The following is a 22,421-nucleotide window of genomic DNA, read 5'->3' as shown; positions in this document are numbered from 1 at the left end:
AGGCAGGTAGTAAAGCCCTTCCAGACATGGGAGGCTAAGAAGGAGGCCTCCACCTGACCATACCAGGCTGTGCTCTGAGATGTGAATTTGTCAAAATATATCTACATCAAGAATGATAACTTAGCCAACAGCCTTACTGTGTCCAAATGGAGGTGGTACTACTGGAGACTATCCAGGATGGAGCTCATCTGTGTGATGCTATCCTCAGCCAGAGATGTAGTACAGCACCTTCACGGAGCCCACTCCATTTGTAAAATCACAATTCAAATGCCCACAGTGCCCATAAGCCCTGCTACACAGAGGACAAGACCAATCCATGTGGGAGCAGAAGAAATAACACAATGTTGTTCATGGAACTGGGAAATTGACTTTTCTGACTTCAATGCTTGGAGACAAAAGAATTTAGATTGAATTCCATTTTCACCACACACTTCTATGAAAAGGTTCTTACATTTTGTAAGACTTAGTTTCCTCATTCAAATGGGAAAATACCTACACGCAGGGTTTTTGTCAGGATCAAGTACAAAACTATATGTAAAAATGCTTCATGCCATAGCTGTCATATATGAGCTACTCAATATTCAGCAAATACCATTTCCTTCATATCTTTGTCCTAATAAAAGGAGATGGGAAAAAATTGGTAAACATAAACCTAGATTCTGTACAGAATGTGTCCAAAAGGATGGTGTCCTCTTCCAAATATCACAGCTTTTTATTAAAAACAAAATAAGAGACCAATGTTTACAAGTTATAATTTTGGCAGACACTGTGTCTAATATGGCTTTTCCAAATTTCCCACTAAATTAAAATATCCATGAATTTAAACAAAAAGTCAAAGTGATGACAGTGCTGTAAATAAAAAACATGAAAAAGCCATAGGCCAAAATGCAGGAAGAGTTTCCACTGAATGAGAATGGAATGGCATGCATGTTCTTGGATTACAGAACATAGGTTCCACCCTCTGATTCAGAACCCGGCAGAAGGCCCTAAAGAAGGTAAGACAAATTTTGCCTCAATTCAGAGGAGCAGGGTGTGTGCTACTCAGAAAGATAGGAGCCCATTCGACAAATGCGTAGGAATTTTGTATCAGGCAAAGTCACTGCCATTTCTCTGCTCTCCCATACATTCCTGGACATCACTGAAAGAAGTTGAAGGAAGTGCACAGGTAGAGAAAGTTTATATCCTGGCAAAATTTGTCACCTAAGATTAGATATTGCAAGAGTGGGCATAAAGAGAAGGCACAGTTGGTGCAGGAGGTGAAGTTTCTCATGTTCTGTGTAGTTCAAAGGAGCATTGTAACTGCATCTGAGGCTTTAGTTTAGTCATAGAACCAGTCAATCTGAAAAGAGAAAATATGTGCCTAAGATCTGCAGATTCAGTGCCTACTGGGCATCACACTGAGAAAATAGTGAAAAACAATCTTTAAAAAAAATTTTTTGGGGACAGAATCCTGCTTTGTCACCCAGGCTGGAGTGTAGTGGCACAAACAGAGCTCACTTCAGCCTTGACTTCCTGGGCTCAAGCGATCCTCCCACCTCTGGCTCCAAGTAGCTGCCACCATGTCCGGGTAATTTTTTTGTATTTTTTGTAGAGATGGGATTTCACTTTGTTGCCTGGCTTGTCTCGAACTCCTGAGCCAAGGTGGGAGGATCTCTAGAGCCCAAGAGTTTGAGACCAGCCTGGGTAACATGGTGAGACTCCGTTTCTATTTTTTTATTTAAAAAATTAAAAATTAAATTAAATGTTAAAAATAAATACATGTAAATATTTCGAGAAATAGTGACCAAAAACTTTCCAAATTCAATGAAGAACATTAATGAAAGCAATAAAAAGTACAATGAACTCAAAGTAGGATACAGAGATCCACTCGTAGACACATCAGAGTCAAACTGCTAAAAGCCAAAGATGAAAAAAAAATCATGAAAGCAGCAAGAGCAAAAAAGACTCATCACAGAATGGTTAGAGCATCTGAATCTGGAGTTAATGTTTTTAATCAATAAAGGAGAGAGACCAGTAAGGGTCAATAGATACAGCAACCAGCAGGAGTGGAAAGTAATGCAGCTGGATGGCATGCATTTCAAAGAATAAGTCTTGCTTAGACTTGTTTTGGGTTTAGTTTTTGTTTCAGTAGAAAAGGAGATTAATTGTTGGAAAGTAATGGCAAGCAGGAAGAGCACCTACTTTCACCTTCTGGCCTTGATGTATGTGGGACGTAAGAGAAAAACACTGTTTACGTCAGACATCAGAAGACTTGGGGAGAACTTGACCTCAGGGAATAGCCTGGTTTTAGTCAAGGTAACAAAGACATAAAAACATTAGAGAAAAATTTTGAATTTATAAGGGATGTTGCAGTTCTCAGATAAAAATGATAACACAGTTGTTATATATGAAAGACAGATGAAGGTAAGCCCATTGAAGAATTATAGATACTCCAGAAGAGACAGGAACAGAACAGTAGAAAAAGAAACTAGTAAATTATAGCAAGTAAGAAAAATGCCCTTGGTTATGCAAATATCTGAGTCTGCAGATTAAAAAGATTTGTGAGTTTCATGTAAAATTACATGCAGTATTGAGAAGCAGGTTGCAGAAAGAAGATGTATCCCACACACAAATAAATTTTAGAATTTTTTTTAATTTAAAGGAATAAATACCTACAAGCTTCCAGATTAAAAAAAGTTTACAACACAATTTTATGTGATTGAATTATTATTAATGTGGAAAGTTATAGAAAGATGTTTTCAGATTCAGGGACGTAATAACATATACCTTCTCCCAAGAAAATTATTTGAATAGTCATCTCAGTTGAGCAGAAAATGAAATCAAGAAAGGTCATAATGGAGCCAGGCGTGGTGGCTCATGCTTATAATCCCAGCACTTTGGGAGGCCCAGGTGGGCAGATCATTTCCAGTCAGGAGTTCAAGACCAGCCTGGCCAACATGGGGAAACCCTGTCTCTACTAAAAATACAAAAAAATTAGCTGGCCATGGTCGCGCACACCTGCACCCCCAGCTATTATGGAGGTTGAGGTAGGAGAATTGCTTGAACCCAGGAAACAAAGGTTGCAGTGAGCTGAGACTGTGCCACTGCACTCCAGCCTGGGCAACAGAGTGAGACTCCATCTCAAAAAAGAAAAAAAAAAGAAATGTCATGATGCAATTGATCCTACTATATGGTAATAACTATATTTATAAGAAACCTAGGTTATTTAAAAACACATTATAAAAACAATAATTTAAATAGAAAATCTGGATTTAAATCATTTTTTCTACAAAATTCTCACTAATGAAGGCAGCAGAGAGGCATTGCAATTTATAACCATGAAACTTAAACATTACTGAGGAATTCCAGCAACAGATTACAATTAGCTTTGCTAACTAATCACCAATTGTATCACCAATAATAGTTACATATCACAATGACTGTATTAGCCCATTCTCACGCTGCTAATAAAGACATACCCAAGACTGGGTAGTTTATAAAGGAAAGAGGTTTAATTGACTCACAGTTCAGCATGGCGGGGGAAGCCTCAGGAAACTTACAACCATGGTGGAAGGAGAAGCAAACATGTCCTGCTTCACGTGGCAGCAGCAAGAAGAGCTAAGCAAAAGGGGGAAAGCCCCTTATAAAACCGTCAGATCTCATTAGAACTCACTCACTATCATGAGAACAGCATGGGGGTAACCGCCCCCATAATTCAATTACCTCTCACCGGGTCCCTCCCACGACATGTGGGAATTATGGGAACTACAATTCAAGATGAGATTTGGGTGGGGACACAGCCAAACCATATCAACGCCTTATACATATTCTTATTACCATTATCATCCACTGTTGTGATAAATTACACCACTAGAAATAAGTAGTTATATTGTAATGCAAGCATGCTTGCTTTGTTGTTTCTATGAGCACTTGGTGCTGGATCTCTACTGAACTAGATTTATGACCAAAAGTGTTTTGTGCATGTAAAATATGTCCCTCACTTAATACTTTTTAAAAGAACATTCCCTGTAGAAAACATTTCTATAAAAAAGGAGTGGAGGTAATCACGAACATCAAATAAAACAATGAGTGAAGAATAAATAATGGTGAAACTACGATTAAGAATGATACTGATAATATATATTGAATTCTTACTGTGTGCTAGACAGTGTTCTAGTACTGCCCTAGGTTCCTTACCTATATTATTTCATTTAATTCAAATAGCAACCCCATGAGGTTATGTCTTCATTTTATATATGTGGAAGCTAACAAAGTCACACAGCTAGTGAGTAGTGGACATCAAATTCAAACACAAGGAATCTGATTCCAAAGACCACCCGATCATTAGACATGCTCCCTTGAAGCAAAAGCTGGTATCTTAATAATTTGAAAAAATAAAGGATGAAATACATATTCATTAAGCTGAAATACAACCACCAACATAATTTAATACTTTTACTTTGCATGTCATGCCAAAAGATGAAAGCAAACAACTCGTTGTTTATATATAAAAAGGAAAATAAAGAAAACAGGACAAATAAGCTAGACTCCCCTACCAAGAAACATAAAAGAATTCTGCTGAGAAGTCTTCTGATAGATCCACTCCTTCTTCTAACTCTGATCCATTTGTCCAGTGGAACAGTAGTACCAAAAGGTGTTCAGAGCCTGGAAAGTATGTGCTGGGCCATAATCTCTACCGAAGCACATCCCTTCATTTCCTTCTGGAGCAGATGGGAACCAGAGAACCAATGACAAGGAAGAAGGATTGGAGCTCTCTATACACAAGAGACCCATGCAGCCCTGAAGTGTGTGTTCCTAGAAAGACTTGCTATATCAGACAGAACCCCAGAGAGCTATGTCTCTCCCTGAAACTGGGAGTCATAACTCTGGAGTCACAGAAGCATGGAGGCAGACAGCTTTTCCCTGGTGACTCAGCTCAGCATTTTCACTGACTACTCAGTGTGACATTTCACCAGAGCACAGACTGCTGAATCTTCCTTCAGATCTGTTTGTCACTGTTTAGTAGGCCCAAGTGGCTTTATGTGAACCCCAAGATTAATCAAACTATGAGTAGATAAAGGTAAATGTTGACATGCATAAGGGGACCCAAAACTCAAAAGTAAGAATAGCAAGTAGAGTACCTAGACTAGAGAAACCTCTAAAGAAACGGAATTGCTGTTTGAGACAGACGATAATATTAGCAAAAATAATAACAATAGTATGCAGACTTAAGGAGTTCCTATAACAAAATATAATTCCTTATTTTTATATTAAAAGTATCAATAAATAAACTAAAAATGGGATGGTCACTAAGCAAATACATATAATAGAACAAAGTAGCCAATCATGTAAATAGTAAAATCTCCAGAAAGAATGAAAGAAACAGAAAATATGGAAAGGCAATAATAAAAGAAATAGTAGAGAAAAATTATCCTGATTTTGTGCTTTTTCAATTTGCAGACCATATTTTTATGAGTCATGATATTGCTATTTGATACTTATTTAATACAGGAGAAATAGGTGAATATTTTTGAATTTTAGGGATAAGAAGATAACTATTAGCAGAATTGAAAAGCATAATAGAACTTCTGAACTGGTAATGGGAAAACAGAAATGAATAGTAACTTTTAACAACAACCTACTTCCTGCTGACAGGTAGCAAAAGAAGAAAAAATTAAATTAATAACAACAACCAAATAAGAATAAAAAGAAGAAAATATAAGTGAGATACGAACTAAAAATATAGTAATAAATTAATATATTTGGAATAAACCAAGTATCTCAGTGGTATGAATTACCCTACTGAAAGACATAGATACTCAAAATGTAATAAAGAAACAAAAGATAGCTTTCTACTGTTTAAGAGAAACATTCTTAAATCTAAGTGATATAAAAGAACGGGGAAAACACTAAGATAAGTAAAGCAACCACGCGCAAAAGCAAACAGAAAGCAGATCTGTCTGCTTGTTTCTTTAAGGTTAAACACTTCAAAGACAGCAAAAAGAGAGGTGTGTAATGATAAAGGGTGAAATTTATGAAGGAGATTTGTCAGAAATAAATCCAAGTGCAACAAAACCAAAATTATTAGAAATTCAAAAATAACTTGATTAAAAATTTCATTCTTGCAGGCTATTTTAATATCACTTTTTCATAGATCTAGCAGACAACACGTAATCTGATCAACAAAAGTGTGTGTGTTTGCATGTGTGTGTGTGTGCACGCGCGCGCGTGTGTGTGTGTGTACCCTAAAAATTGGGAATAAGCTTTTTCCGCATCCAATGAACATTCACAAAAATTATAAAAATCTGATACTTGGCTGAAATTTTTTTCTTAGAGATTTTACAGGTCACATTCTCTGATGAAAATTATATAAAATTTCACTAAGAGATAGTATATGAAATTACAGTAAGAGTAAGATAGCAGTAAGAGAAATTTAATATAGTTAAAAGGTGAAATTAATTTTTAAAAAATCAAAAATAGTAGGAAGCACACACAAAATTTCTAAAGCAGCTTCTTTGAAAAGAGTAGAAGACAACTAATAAAATGAAAACGGATAAAATCTATAAAAAACCAATAAACCAATTAAAACAAAAAATACAATAATGTAATTGAAGTAGTATACAAAACAATACATAAACACAAATCAAATGAGAATAGGATTTAAAGCAAATATTATGTTCTATTCTACAGCCACAAGTTTGTAAACGAGAAGGAAATGAATGATTTTCTAGCAAACCCAAATTACCAAAATCAAGTCATGAAGTAGAAACATGAATATATTAATTTCCAAGGAAGACATATGAAATAAATTAATAAGCTTTGCCATGGTACCAATCAGAGTAACTTACTTATTACAAGAGATAAACCCAGAAACCTCAGTGCGTTAGTAAATGGAAGTATATATCTTAGCTACATCAATTCTAAACAGGTGTGATTAACTCCCCCAAGCAATGTTTCAGGGCCACTTGCTCTTTCATCTTGTAAACTAGATCTGCCGTTCTCTAGACCCTGGTAGATGTTTGCTACCCTCTGCATTTGGCAGGAAGGCAATGGAAGAAAAGAACATGAAGAATCAGATAGGAAGTTTATTTATGGGCCAGCCTTAAAAATGACTTACATAAATTCTGCCTACATTTCTGGGCCAGAACCCAGTCTTGGGCCACATTTAAGGCAGCAGGCAAAGGAAGCTGCAAAATCATCTGTGTGCCAGGGAGAGAAGAGAAAAGGCTGTAGTAAACAACTAGCAAATCTTCTAATATATTCTGGTAAAGAAAGTGGCTGGGTTCACACCTTCTTATCATTAAAGAATTGATAATCCCAGGGATGTGCTGGAGATTCTTAGAACAGTGGATAGGAGCTAATTGTGTCTTTTCCCAACTCCAGGTACAGTGACATTACATTGACGGCTATGATGAAAGTGTTTACACCACAGTAATTGGCATTCACTACCAACTAGGGCAATTCACCCATATCCCCCAGCCCTGAGAGCTGGTTACTTGAAACACCACCATACTACTGCATAATTCAAATACTGTTTAAGTTATTCTAAACCATAGTAAAAGTAACTATATATAGATCACCATCTCTAATTAATATAGATTCAAATCTAACTAGAATATTAACAAATCAAAACCCCTCTGGGATTATGCTCCTAAACAAGATCAATTTTCATTTCCTTCCTAGGGAAGAGAAAGTGGTAACTCTCAAGACACAGGACAAAAGAGGAACTATAAAGAGCATCTCAGATAAGCATTTCAGGAAGCAAAGCATCAATTTCAAAGTGTCTACATAGAGACAAGAACCAAATGTGGAGTGAAGAGTTCAGACAATATGGAGTAAACAGGCAGGAGAGAGAAAATGGGAGGTTTATCCAATTATCCACACAAGAGGAGGGAGCCCTTTATAACTTGCCTGTGGCTGAACATGTCAGTATCAAGGAAGCCCAGCCAACCGATGTCCTCAAAAGGCTCTCTCCTACCAAAAAAGAGACTTCTCTGGTTCACCTGGGAAAGTCATGAATAACTCCCTGAAGAGTTCCAAACTGTAGATGATAAAAGTCTTTGATGATTTCTCCAAATTTTCCTCCTCCTCCTAGGCTACCTGTAGGAGCTGACCGTGGTGATACTGGGTCCAGTGGCTTCTGTGATATTCTACAGTTCACTGTACCTCTAGGCAATTTCTGGAGCACAGTGGGAAATGTAAGGTCTCACTGCATCAGAAATATGGAATTTCAAATTTTCAACTCCATTAATACTGTTATATAAGGCCTTGGCAAAAAAATAGGGCAGAAAAGATAAATACGCTTTTTGAAAAGGGGATAAAAATTATCACCATTTGCATTTGATATAACGGTATACTCTGAAATCCCAGGAATATTAACTGAAAAGGTGTTTTTAAAAACTAAATAGTTTATAAAACAAAATAGAAAATCTGGGGTAAGAGAATGAAGATTTATACAACAAAATCAAGCAAGACAGAAGAGAAATGAAGTGAGAAAACAGTCAAGACTGTGCCATATCATGAAAGCCAAAAAAATCTTTGAAGGGAAGCCATAAGTAGTATTAGAGTCTATAAAAAACATCATGAGAACAATAACTATGGGTGATGCCACTTATCTGAACCCAGGTGCCATAAAACTCCTGGATGTGAAAGACTTGCTATCTTCTTGCCAATCCTTCAAGACTTCAGGGCCCCCTCCATTGATGATTTAAATGTTAGATAAAGGCAAACAGTCACGCTCCCCTTGTAAAATCAGGAAACAAATGTTCTACTTTTACATAACATCACTGAAAAATTCTCTCATTTTGCAGGGCATATATACCAATGATGGATAAGACATTTGCCAAAGTCTAGAGAATTATGGCACTAAAGTGCTGATTCTTCCAGTTGAGGAGAAATAATTTGACACCTCTGGAGCAGCATACTTGTTCCACAATCTAAGCCATTCAAGCACATTTCGAAACATCTCAGTCAGCAATATGCACACTGAATACCCCTCTCCACATTGGAACAGTTCTTTCTCCTCTCTGATGTGGCCTTGCAGATATGCTCTGTGGTATCACTGTTAAGCTTTCCATTTATTTTTCCACATTCACCTACAAAGAAAAAATTACTCTCCTTGCTTGCCCGTCCAAATTATCTGAGAATGCTTTTAACAGCTCTCAAAATTGTAGAAAGATGACTTCATAATACAGCCGCAAAATAGACTGACCATCTAGAGGAGAGAAGCAATTTTCTATTTTAGGCTTATAAAGGAACATCTTACTAATTTAGGTTATAATAAATGCCACCATTTATAAATATTTTTGTTTTGAGATCCCCTGAAACATTATTTTAAATATAACATTTCAGCATGTTTGATCAAGTTATTTTGTGTGTCCACCTTCTCAACTGTATGATTTTAATATTCTCTTTCAAAGCAGACCTATAGGAATGCTACCATGTCAATTCAATTTTGAACAACTCGTAAAATATGAGCCCACATCTTGTGTCAAAATATCACTTTCAGATATTCTGAGCACTAAACAAATCAATTAAATTATGGTTATAATCACAAAAAAATGCTGCCTAAGCCTATAATTTTATTAGATAACTCTAAGCAGAGAGTTAAAGTGACATGTTCCTTTTCGGGGATCCACAGTGAAAGATACATTAGTTGTAAAATTGCGTTTTGAGAAAGGATAGATATGAGGAAAAGCTTTCTGTAGTAACGAGAAATTATTTGTCATCAACCATTTTTAATTAAATTTTATTTTTGTCTACATGCACCATGTTTAAATAAGTAAAACATCTACATGACTCAAAAGTAAAGACTTTATATTTACAAAAGGTATATTCTGAGAAGTCATCCCTTTGTCTACTCTCCCATCCAGTTGTCACTCTAAAGATAGTTAACTATTTTCTTTAGCTGATGGTTTACCAATCCTTTATTTCTTTCTTGTAAAAATAGTCATATAAGTGTATAAACATATACATGATGCTTTCTTATACAAACTGTAGTGTACTCTATCTATCATTTTGCCCCTTGAATTTTTTCACTTAATAAATACTGAAAATTGTTCCATGTTAGGTCATAGAGATTTTCATTTTTCTCTTTGTTTTTGCTTTTTTGTATGACTTATGGTACATTGTGTGGCGGTACCATGGTCTAGTTCATCAATTTCCTAAACACAGGCATTTAGGTTGTTCCAAATATTTTGTTATTGGAGATGTCTCTGCTATGTATGTTATTTTGTATTATGGGTGGGGTGGGGGTGTTTCCTGAGGGTAAATTTCTAAAGTACAGTTAGTAAGTCAAGAAGTAAATACATAGTTTTGAGATATGGTAATATTCAACTCTCCAACTAGAAAGTATTCTTGTAAAACAAATGAACAAACAAATGAAGAAATCTAATTGCCTCAAATATAACTACTAGTTTACATAATATACACAGAATGGAGGAGCATTTTAATGACATCACAGTAATGCAATCATGAAAATCCAAAATGCAGACACTTGAACAAATAATCTGTTTTCCCCAACTAATAAATTGCTAGAAAAACAAAGTGAGTACTAGGAGGGAACCTACAGAATACAAGATAATTAGACATAGAAACTAAATTTAATGTGTAAATCTTGTTTGGATCCTGTATCAAACAAACTGACTGGAAACACACACATTTATGTGTTTATGTATAAATATAAATATATCTAATATATAGTGCAAACATATTTTGTATCATACATAAATGCACATATAAAATACAATTAGAAACAACAGATGCTGGAGAGGATGTGGAGAAATAGGGATGCTTTTACACTGTTGGTGGAAGTGTAAATTAGTTCAACCATTGTGGAAGACAGTGTGGAGATTCCTCAAGGATCTAGAACCAGAAATACCATTTGACCCAGTAATCCCATTACTGGATATATACCCAAAGGATTATAAATCATTCTGCTATAAAGACACATGCACATTTATGTTTATTGTGTCACTGTTCACAATAGCAAAGACTTGGAACCAACCCAAATGCCCATCAATGATAGACTGGATAAAGAAAATGTGGCACATATATACTATGGAATACTATGCAGCCATAAAAAATGATGAGTTCATGTCCTTTGCGGGGACATGGATGATGCTGGAAACCATCATTCTCAGCAAACTAACACAGGAACAGAAAACCAAACACCACATGTTCTCACTCATAAGTGGGAGTTGATCAGTGAGAACACATGGACACAGGGAGGGGAACATCACACACTGGGGCCTGTCAGGGGGTGTGGGGCTAGAAGAGGGATAGCTTTAGGAGAAATACCTAATGTAGATGATGGGTTGATGGGTGCAGTAAACCACCATGGCACGCGTATACCTATGTAACAAACTTGCACATTCTGCACATGTACCCCAGAACTTAAAGTATAATTTAAAAAATGCAATTAGAGAAATCTGAACTCTGGATATTTGATGATATTAAGAATTTAATGTTAATTTGATAATATTAATGAACAATTGTTCATTGTTAATGGTGATACTTATTACAAGCATACCTTGGAGATACTGAGGGTTTGGTTCCAGTCCACTGCAATAAAGTGAGTATCATAATAAAACAACTCCTTAATCCATGGGATTCAGAATGGATGTTGTATTGGCTGACATGAAAACAACAATAATCTCCTTGTACATTTCCATCAGAGCTCTTGGTTGACCAGCTGCATTATCAATGAGCAGTAATATTTTAAAAGAATTTTTTTCCCCAAGCAGTAGGTCTCAACAATTGACTTAAAATATTCAGTAAGCCATGCTGCAAACAGATGTGCTGTCATCCAGGCTTTGCTGCTTACCTCATAGAGTACAGGCAGAGTAGGTTTAGCACAATTCTTCAGGGTCCTATGATTTTCAGGACAGTAAATGAGCTTCGTTTCTACTTAAAGTCACCAGATGCATTAGTCAGCCTGTCCTTTGAAGCTTTGAAGACAGGCATTAACTTCTCCTCTCTAGCTAGGAAAGTTGTAGACAGCATCTCCTTCCATTAAAAGGCTCTTTCTTCTACATTGAAAATCCATTATTTAGTGTAGCCACCGTCTTGAATGATCTTACCCAGATCTTCTGGATTACTTACTGCAGCTTCTCCATCAGAACTTACTGCTCCATCTTGCACTTTTTAAAAAATTTTTGATTTCCATAGGTTTTTGGGTAACAGGTGGTATTTGGTTACATTTTGGGGCACCCATCACCCAAGCAGTATACATTGAACCCAGTTTGTAGTCTTTTATTCCTCACACCCCTCCCACCCTTTCCCCTGAGGCCCTGAAGTCCATTGTATCATTCTTATGCCTTTGCATCCTCATAGCTTAGCTCTCACTTATGAATGAGAAGATATGATACTTGGTTTTCCATTCCTGAGTTACTTTCCATAGAACCACAGTCTGGTTTCATCCAGGTTGCTGCAAATGCCATTAATTCATTCCTTTTTATGGCTAAGTAGCATTCCACTGTATAGATATATATACCACAATTTCTTCATCCACTCATTGATTGATGAGCATTTGGACTGGTTCCATATTTTTGCAATTGTGAATTGTGCTGCTAAAAACATGCAAGTGCAAGTATCTTTTTTGTATAATGACTTATATTTCTCTGGGTAGATACCCAGAAGTGGTATTGCTGGATCAAATGGTAGATCTACTTTTAGTCCTTTAAGGAATCTCCACACTGTTTTCCATAGTGGTTGTACTAAATTCCCACCAGCAGTGTAGAAGTGTTCCCTGTTCACCACATTCATGCACACATCAATTATTTTTTGATTTTTTGATTATGGCCATTCTTGCAGGAGTAAGGTGGTATTGCACTGTGGTTTTGATTTGCATGTCCCCAATCATTAGTGATGTTGAGCATTTTTTCATGTTTAATGGCCATTTGTACATCATCTTTTGAGAATTGTTTATTCATGTCCTTAGCCCACTTTTTGATGGGATTCTTTGTTCTTCTTACTAATTTGTTTGAGTTTGTGGTAGATTCTGGACATTAGTCCTTTGTCAGATGTATAGATTGTGAAGATTTTCTCCCATTCTGTGGGTTGTCTGCTTAATCTGCTGCCTTCCTTTTGCTGTGCAGAAGCTATTTAGTTTAATTAAGCACTTTTATGTTATGAAGATGGCTTCTTTCCTTCAACCTCATGAACCACCCTCTGCTAAATCAACTTCAACCTTTTCTTCTGCAGCTTCTTCACTCTTCTCAGCCTTCGTAAAAGAGAGTTAGGGTCATGCTCTAGATTAAGCTTTGGCTGAAGGGAATGTTGTGGCTGGTTTGATCTTCTATCCAGAAGAGTCAAACTTTCACCATATCAGCAATAAGCCTGTTTTGCTTTCTTATCATTCATACATTTACTGGAGTAACACTTTTAATTTCCCTCAAGAATTCTTCCTTTGCATTCACAACTTCGCTTGCCAGCACAAAAGGCCTAGATTTTGTCATATCTTGGCTTTTGACGTGTCTTCCTTGCTAGGATTGATTATTTCTAGCTGTTGATTTAAAGTGAGAAATGTGCATCTCTTCCTTTCACTTGAACATTTAGGTGACATGGTAGAGTTATTAATTGGCCTAACTCCAATATTGTATGTCTTAGAAAATACAGAGACCTGAGGAGAGGGAGAGAGATGGGGCAATGGCCAGTCAGTGGAGCACTCAGATCACATACAACATTAATCAATTAAGTCACCATCTTAAATGGGTGTGGTTCCTGTCACCCCAAAACAATCATAATAGTAACATCGAAGATCGCTGATCACAGATCTCCATAACAGATAAAATAATAGTGAAAAAGTTTGCAATATTGTGAGAATTGCCAAGATGTGACACAGAGATATGCAGTGAACACATGCTGATGGAAAAACGGCAGCAATATACTAGCTAGACAGAGAGTTACCACAAACTTTTAACTTTTAAAAAATGCAATATGTGTGAAGCACAATAAAGCAAAGTGCAATGAAAAAAGGCATGCTTGTATTTAATGATATTTTAAAGGAACCCTTATTTTTAGAGCTACATACTGACATATTTATGGATGAAATTATATAATATCTTAGGTTAGCTTCAAAAAAAACCAGGATGTTGTGAGCAGCAGCCTTCCCACATAATTAACAGAAGGCTGAGCAGATACAAGCATTCATTAATCCTCACCATGCTTTTGTCTATATAGTGCAAGTCTTCGCTTATGCTGCTCTCTCCCTTATTCACCTGGAAAATTCCTACTTATCCTCAAAGATCCCCTCAAATGATACTTCCTCTGCAGTCTTCCCCAATCCTGTCTGTCAGGATACAGCAGATACATTTGGTGCCCAGCTGAGATCCCCTTGAAGCTCTCTTTCCATTTCTACACATCAGTCCCCCAGCTCCTGCACAGTTTTGCTTATAACAGTCCTGTCCCTGCACCCAAGACCCTTTTGGGAGTCTGCCCTTGGGCTGCTGGAGTTACTCTGCCTGCATCTAGAGAGATAGAGAGTGCTTGGGAGTTTATGTCTTCCCCCTGTAGGGTAGCTCATAGTCAATAACTGCTTGATGCAGAGTATGAAAGCCTCATGCCCTTTGTCTCCAGTTGAACATACTCTGAGGTGTTATTTAAACTCTGCAACTTCCCTACAGTATCAGACTAAGACTGCAACTTTGCCTAACATTTGCACACTTTCTCAGTTTCTTTTCCTTCCTTGTCCTACTTTCTCCATGCCTTTATTAGCTTTTCCTGGGAGCACTTCCTTAACTGATCATTTATGTAAAAATCCTTGCCTTAAGATCTGCTTCCGGGGAATCCACCTTTTGACATAAGGTAAACTACTTCTTCAGCTATGTATTATCATAGTCACTGTCATAACATTATATGACAGCTACAACATATGTCATCATATCATAACATTATCATGATAGTTGTAACAACTATTTTTCTCCATTACAGATAGCTATTTCATTGTGTTCACAGCAAGTTTATGAACTTCTCAAGCATAGGAACCATGTGATATACTTTTATGTCCTCAGCATATGGCTCAGACCCTTGCACATTGTAGGTGATCAATACTTGTTGAATAAACAAGTGGATTAATGAACCAACTCTTTTTTTTTTCTTTTTCTTTTTCTTTTTTTGAGACAGAGTCTCACTCTGTTGCCCAGGCTGGAGTGCAGTGGCACAATTTCGGAACACTGCAACCTCCTCCTCCCGGGTTCAAGCATTTCTCCTGTCTCAGCCTCCCAAGTAGCTGGGACTACAGGCGTGAGCCACCATGCCCGGCTAATTTTTTTTTTTTTTTTTGAATTTTTAGTAGAGATGGGATTTTGCCATGTTGCCCAGGATAGTCTCAAACTCCTGAGCTCAGGTAGTCCGCCTGCCTCAGCCTCCCAAAGTGCTAGGATTACAGGCGCGAGCCACTGCTCCTGGCCTCAACTCTTCATATGCATTTGAGAGTCATCATAAATAATAAATGGAACAATTGTTTTGGAAATTACTTTTAATAGTGAAATAGAATTTGGGGTTTTCCTCTTTGCTATAAGCAACATAAATGTAAATTCTTTCTTTCATTCTATTCACAGCTTAATCTTCATCTTCACATACTGATGTTTATCCAAAAGTGAAGCTTTCAGAATAGGTTTCCCAACAGCCCAGTTTCTCTCTCCATTTCCCTCCCTCTCAAGTAGACTCACACAGAGGTTCCTGGCCTTCTTACAGAGTTCCCCATCCCTCGACTCCAATATCATCCCTATCATCCCCCCATCTGTCTCCCATTTGGCAGCCCATATGTAGCAGTACCCTTCTTTTCCCCAGAGGAACAGCCAGTCCCTGCTGCTGAACAGTTTGTGACAACACAACTCCAGATCATGGAATGGTCAGCTCTGGGTATAAGCACTGGTTCACCAAACTATAATGGAAGCAGAGAATAAAATAGAACAGTGGAAGCCATTGGTGAGGAGAGTGTAAGAATGGAGCCCTGTAATGGGGTCCTGTGAGGCAAAAGGAGAGAAATGGTGGGAACACCTCCATTTGGAGGATTTATAAATTCAGGCCTCGGACCTAAGATTGGAAAAGGCAGTGACTTCAGTTTATACAACATGTGAGAGCCCTGGTAGCTCTTATTAATGATGTGTTTTGGCTTTGATCTTGATAATATTTTTATCCTATAACACAACTATCATCAGATCACTCTTTGATTTGATGGAGGAAGGAGATAAAGAACATTGCACACCCTTTTAAAAGATGAGATGTAGGAGGCAGAGGAACTGAGATACCAGTGACTTTATTTTTCACTTTTTCCTCTCAGTCCCTCTCTCAATACTCTGTGCATTCTCAAACTTGTGCTGTCCATGAGATTCCCAATTACCACTTGCCATCTAGCATCTAGTCTTTCCTTCTTACTTTGGAAAATGTAACAAATGTTTATAGCATTGTAATTTATATACAAACTTTACTTTTTCACTTTCAAAGTTTTATACCTTATATAAACTTGTTTAAATTGTTCCATCAGTATTTTTTTTCTTTCTATCTATGAAAATTGTGCATTTGAGGTTAAGATAAAACAAATCAAAGTTTTTCCATTGAAACAAATGAAAATAATTTCTTATTTAACAGCTTTGAACTTAATAGCAATGTTTTGGAAATAAATTAATTCATGAACTTGTTTAAATTGTTCCATTAATATTTTTTTCTTTCTATCTTTGAAAATTGTACATTTGGGATTAAGAAAAAACAAATCAAATTTTTTCCATTAAAATAAATGGAAATAATTTCTTATTTAACAGTTTTGAACTTAACAGCAGTGTTTTGGGAAATAAATTAATTTGTAAAGTAAAGGCTAGGTGTACTAGTTTATCCCTCCCACTAGACTCGTAAATTCCATGTGTGACTCATAGTTAACACCAAACAAGATTTCTTGAATAAAATAAAATTTTAAAATATTAGTTACTATTAACAAACTTAGTTACTTAGCAAAAGCTATTAGCTTTGGAAATAAGTGGATTATAAGTCTAAAGGCAAAGGAACTGCATGTAAGCACTGTACTTTAGTTAGTAAAGTTGTTTCCCATGGGAGCATGGGTTGACTATTCTGAAACCACTATATGTATATACTGAAATTGGATAATTAAACATAGATGGTGGATAATTTCATTAACAATTTAACTAGTGCCAGCTCCCTTTTTACATCTGCAGAAGATGTGATTTAGGTGGTGTAACAATCTAAGACTGACAGGACATAGATTGCACACCCAAACAACATTGTTAAGCAGAGTTAATGAAGAGACTATCTATGGTGATGAGGCCAGGACTGAAAAAAAATAATAATAACAGAAGTAGAAACACCAAGAGGCTAGCAACAGCAAGGGTCTGTATCCCTGAAGAGAAAAGGGAATCTCAGATAAGGCTGTGGCTCTAGCAGAGGCTGTAGGAGAGGACCACTGATGGAAACAGTGCCTTCATTAGAGGAAGGCAACCAGTGCCAAGTCCTGGCCAGGAAGGAAGTTGGCTGCAAGGAAAATACTCCAGTCCCTCCCCCCACCACCCTCAAGCCTCCTGCCAGTGGCTCTCATTGGCCAAATGCAAATGAAAGAGAACAAGGAAAGATTCCAGTTGATGAATTCCATATAAATCAATCTCCTGGGCACAGAGAAAAGTGGAAAAGGGTGGAGTGCAGATCTAGCAGGACAAATAGAGAATAACAAGCACATGATTAATCTAATACAGAAAATTGGCTGAGCACACCAAAGACCAAGCCCATTTCTTTCATAAATTTTTCAACTGTTTAACTCTATTTATCTCTGTATCTGGATGAATCAAGTCTTTGGACAGAGGTGTTTTGGGGTTGACTGGTCATAGCTTAGAAGGCATAATACCTAAATAGCTAACTATATGACTGTGTGATATGGAATATTTAAAGAAGCTTCTATCCACCCCAACTGTCCACTGGCAAATTCTGAATACCAGTGTACTTTTAATCATGAGGTCTGAATAAAAAGACAAATACTTTTCATGACCTTGACAGATAGATTGAGATCTTTTTATAAAAAGCTTCAAAACCTATTTAAACTTTTTGTTTGCCATAAAGATCTAGCTAAACTTCCATTTCTCACTCCGTCCCCTTTGTTTTTGCCTAGATGGGGTGAGATGAAAGGAGTTAACTTCACTAAACTCATCTCTTTTGATAAAGACTGAAGACCTTGATCAGGTTTCTTTCTAATACTGTTAATCCAAATTGTCCCACAGCATAAGCTTGTTCTCAAAACAGTTGAAGCTGAATGTTGTTCAGCATTTAAACTGAATCACCACTTGTTTTTAACCAAAGTTATTTTTATTTCAGCCAATTGCCCTTTAAACACTAAACTCAAAGGAAAGTTTGAATTTCAAAAGTAAGAATTGCTCTGACTATAGTGTGCAAGACTTTTGGTCCTCCTCTTCCAGTTTGGCTAGCCTTTCATTTCTCTCTCCTAGCACTTCTGAGAACGAAGAAACTGTATATCTTCATTGTTTAAGATAATCCTCATGCCTCATCACTTGAAGTATATTGTTGCCTAACAAAGACCTACCTTCCCACATTTGTATTTACCTGCTTGTTTTACATCTTCTAACCAGCCAAATAGATGATGGTCACTGTACATTCATATAGATGGGTATACCACCATACTTCTAAGAAATGCTTTCTCCTGAAGGCAGAATTCTGCTGGTGCCTGTTCTAACAATCCAAAGAAATTAAAGGAATTTTCTATCCAAATGAGTACTGACTCTCCATGTTTATTGAATTTGACTGTTTACTCAAGATATGGGTGTCAAACCAGCCTATTTGTATGAAACACATTAGAGTAACTACCAGCCAGTATCAACCTGTTCAGAGATTTGAAGGGGAATAAAAGGAATCTACAAGTTTATATGAGCTTTTGTGGAAAATGTAAATGATTTGAGAATATTTTTAAGGCAGTGTGGTACAGTGAGAACACTGAACTCGATTCAGGTGATCTCAACTCCAGTCTCCATTATGCCACCAAAAGGCTGTGGAACCAGTGGTAACCCAATGAATGTCTAAAACCCTTAATTTTGTTATTTATAAAATGGGAACAATACATTTTTGACAAGATTATTATTACAATTAAATGAGATTGTATGTATAAAGGACATTTATACAGCATATATGAACATGCTATGTAATGTAAGGAGGGAAATTAAATCAAGCATGTCCCTATCTACTTCTCCTACTTAAAATCTATAGAAAGAACAGAGAAGATGCCTCTCAAATCCACAACTCCTCCAGGAAACAAGAAAAAGGTTCAATAATGGCCCAGAAATTTGGAGGAGTTCCCTGAAAGGTTAAAAGCTGGTAGGATCAGATTAATAAAATAAGCCACACTCCAGAGCTTACATATGAAAAAAAAAGTAAATGAAAAAGGGTAGGAGGAGTTCAGGGAATTCTACATATTTAGAATTAAAAATTTAAGGAGCAGAAGGATTCTCTATAAAAACCATCTGGGGTACTGGCTACCAAACAGCATTCATAGTGCATAGGCAGATAAAGCTTCTCCCCTAACTTGTGCTAAGCAAGCACTGAATAGGACAGTGTGGGTACTTGGAGCAGAGAAATCATAGACAGTTGGTCATACTCATATTGAATAGGGATTCTCCACTACTGAAATGGACACTTTGTTCTGACAATGATCTTCTCTTTGGCCACAATCACAGAAGCAAGCTATGTGAACCAGAAAAAGCATTCTTTATCAGGTGAACAGAGACCACAAGTACAAAGAAAAACACAACAAAGCAAGAAGATGCAAGCCTGAATAAGAGGCATATAACTCAACATATAGAAGAGCATTTTTCAACCTTAAAATCACCTGAAAACCTTTTTTTTAACTTTGATGTCCAGACTAAGCCATAAATTAATTAAATATCTGGGATGGATCCAAAGCATCAGTATTTTTAAATAGTTATCAGTAGATTCCATTGTATAGCTGAGATTATTATTAGAAGAACAGATATCCTAGAAAATACACAGACATCCCACATTTTATTGCACTTCACATTATTGTGCTTCTCACATACTGCATTGTCCACAAATCGAATGTTTGTGGCAACCCTGTTTCAAGCTAGTCTATTGGCGCCATTTTTTAAAATAGCTTGTGCTTCCTTCTGTGGCACATTTTGGTAATTATCAAGATATTTCAAATTTTTTCCTTATTATTCTACCCATTATGGGGATCTATGATCAATGATACTTCATGTTACTATTATAATTGTTTTGGAGTGCCATGAACAGCTCCCATGTAAGACGGCAAACTTAATTGGTAAATATTTGTGTGTGTTCTGACTGCTCCACCAACCAGCCATTCCCCTATCTCTCTCCCTCTCCTCAGGCCTCCTTATTTCCCGAGACACAATAATATCGAAATTAGGCCAATTGATAACCTTAAAATATCCTCTAAGTGTTCAAGTGAAACAAAGAGGCGCATGTGTCTCACTTTAAATCAAAAACTAGAAACGATTAAGCTTAGTGAGGAAGGCATATCAAAAGCGAGATAGGCCAAAAGCTAGGCCTCTTGTGCCAGTTAGCCAAGTTGTGAATGCAAAGGAAAAATTCTTGAAGGAAATTAAAAGTGCTACTGTGGTGAATATATGAATATATGAATGATAAGAGAGCAAAACAGCCTTATTGCTGATATGGAGAATGTTTTAGTGGTCTGGAGAGAAGATCAAACCAATCAACACATTCCCTTAAATCAAAGCCTAATCCAGAACTCTCTTCAATCCTATGAAGGCTGAGACAGGTGAGGCAGCTGCGAAGAAAAGGTTGAAATTAGCAGAGGTTTGTTCACAAGGTTGAAGGAAAGAAGTCGACTCCATAACACAAAAGTGCAAGGTGAAGCAGCAAGTGCTGATGGAGAAGTTGCTAGTGATCCAGCCCCATTCTATTAGAAGAAGATGTCATCTTCCACTTTCCTAGCTAGAGAGAAGTCAATGTCTGGCTCTAACGCTTCAAAGGACAGGCTGATGACTATCTTGTTAGGATCAGATCAATGAAAATAAACCACAGCCCAGAGCTTAAATATGTGGAAAAAGGTAAAAGAAAAGAGATTGGAGGAATTCTGGGACTTCTACACGTTTGGAATTAAGAAACATAAGGAGCAGAAGAAGTCTCTGTAAGAACCATTTAGGTCTGATCCTAATGCAGCTATGACTTTAAATTGAAACCAACACTCATTTACCATTCTGAAAATTCTAGGACCCTTAAGAATGATGATAATTTCTATTCTGTCTGTGTGCTAGAAATAAAACAATGAAGCCTGCATGGCAGCACAATCTCTTTGCTCCAAGGTTTACTGAATATTTTAAGCCACTGTTGAGACCTACTGGTCAGAAAAAATGATTTCTTTCAAAATATCACTGCTCGTTAACAATGCACATAGTCACCCAAGAGCTGTGATGGACCTATGCAAGGAGATTTATGTTGTTTTCCTGCCTGCTAACACAACATCCTTTCTTCGGCCCATGGATTAATGTGTAATTTTTATTTGCACATTTTATTATTTAAGAAATGCATTTGTTACAGCTATAGCTGCCATAGACAGTGATTCCTCTGGTGGAACTGGGTGAAATAAACTGAAAATATTCTGAAGAAAAATTCACCATTCTAGATGAACATTTGTAATTTATGGAAAGAAACAAAATATCAGCATTAACAGGAGTTTGGAAGAAGGCAATTCCATCCCTCATGGATGACTTCGAGGGGTTCAAAACTTCAGTGGAGAAAGTAACTGCAGCTGTGATAGAAACAGCAAGAGAACTAGAGTTAGAAGTGGAGCCCGAAAATGTGACTAAATTGCTCTAATCTCATCATAAAACTGTAAGAGATGTGGCTCACACCTGTAATCCCAGCACTTTGGGAGGCTGAGGCAGGCGGATCATGAGGTCAAGAGATCGAGACCATCTTGGCTAACGCGGTGAAACCCGGTCTCCATTAAGAAATACAAAAAAATTAGCCAAGCGTGGTGGCAGGCACCTGTAGTCCCAGCTACTCGAGAGGCTGAGGCAGGAGAATGGTGTGAACCCGGGAGGCAGAGCTTGCAGTGAGCCGAGATCATGCCACTGCACTCCAGCCTGGGTGACAGAGGAGACTCCATCTAAAAAAAAAAAAAAAAAGCAAAAGAAAACTGTAACAGATGAAGAGTTACTTTTTATCAATGAGGAAGAAAGTTTTCTTGAGATGGAATCTATTCCTCGTGAAAATAGTGTGAATATTATTGAAATAACAACAAAGGACTTAAAGTCATAGAGAAACTTAGCAGATAAATCAGTGGCAGGGTTTGAGAAGATTGACTCCAAATTTGAAGGAAGTTCTAATGTGGGTAAAATGCTATCAAACAGCATCACATGCTATGGAAAACTTTTTTGTGAGTGGAAAAATCAATCACAGTAGCGAACTTCATTGTTGTTTTATTTTAA

At 37.0% G+C, this 22,421-nt stretch overlaps 1 long non-coding RNA gene across 2 annotated transcripts in view; it reads left to right on the top strand.

The window, feature by feature from the left end:
- LOC105369711 (uncharacterized) overlaps window positions 1-22,421 on the top strand; it is an 81,818-nt gene that overhangs the window by 47,057 nt on the left and 12,340 nt on the right. Inside the window, exon 3 of one of the 2 annotated variants that reach the window (XR_931466.3) lies at window positions 7,663-10,042. The exons of the other annotated variant lie outside the window; for it this stretch is intronic. This is a non-coding gene — a long non-coding RNA (uncharacterized LOC105369711). Of the gene's footprint in view, window positions 1-7,662; window positions 10,043-22,421 lie in introns of those variants that run through there. 2 annotated transcript variants of the gene reach the window in all.

Source organism: Homo sapiens, chromosome 12 (genome assembly GCF_000001405.40).
Source record: "Homo sapiens chromosome 12, GRCh38.p14 Primary Assembly".
Classification (NCBI taxonomy): domain Eukaryota; kingdom Metazoa; phylum Chordata; class Mammalia; order Primates; family Hominidae; genus Homo; species Homo sapiens.
This window is presented reverse-complemented; position numbering and strand designations above follow the sequence as displayed.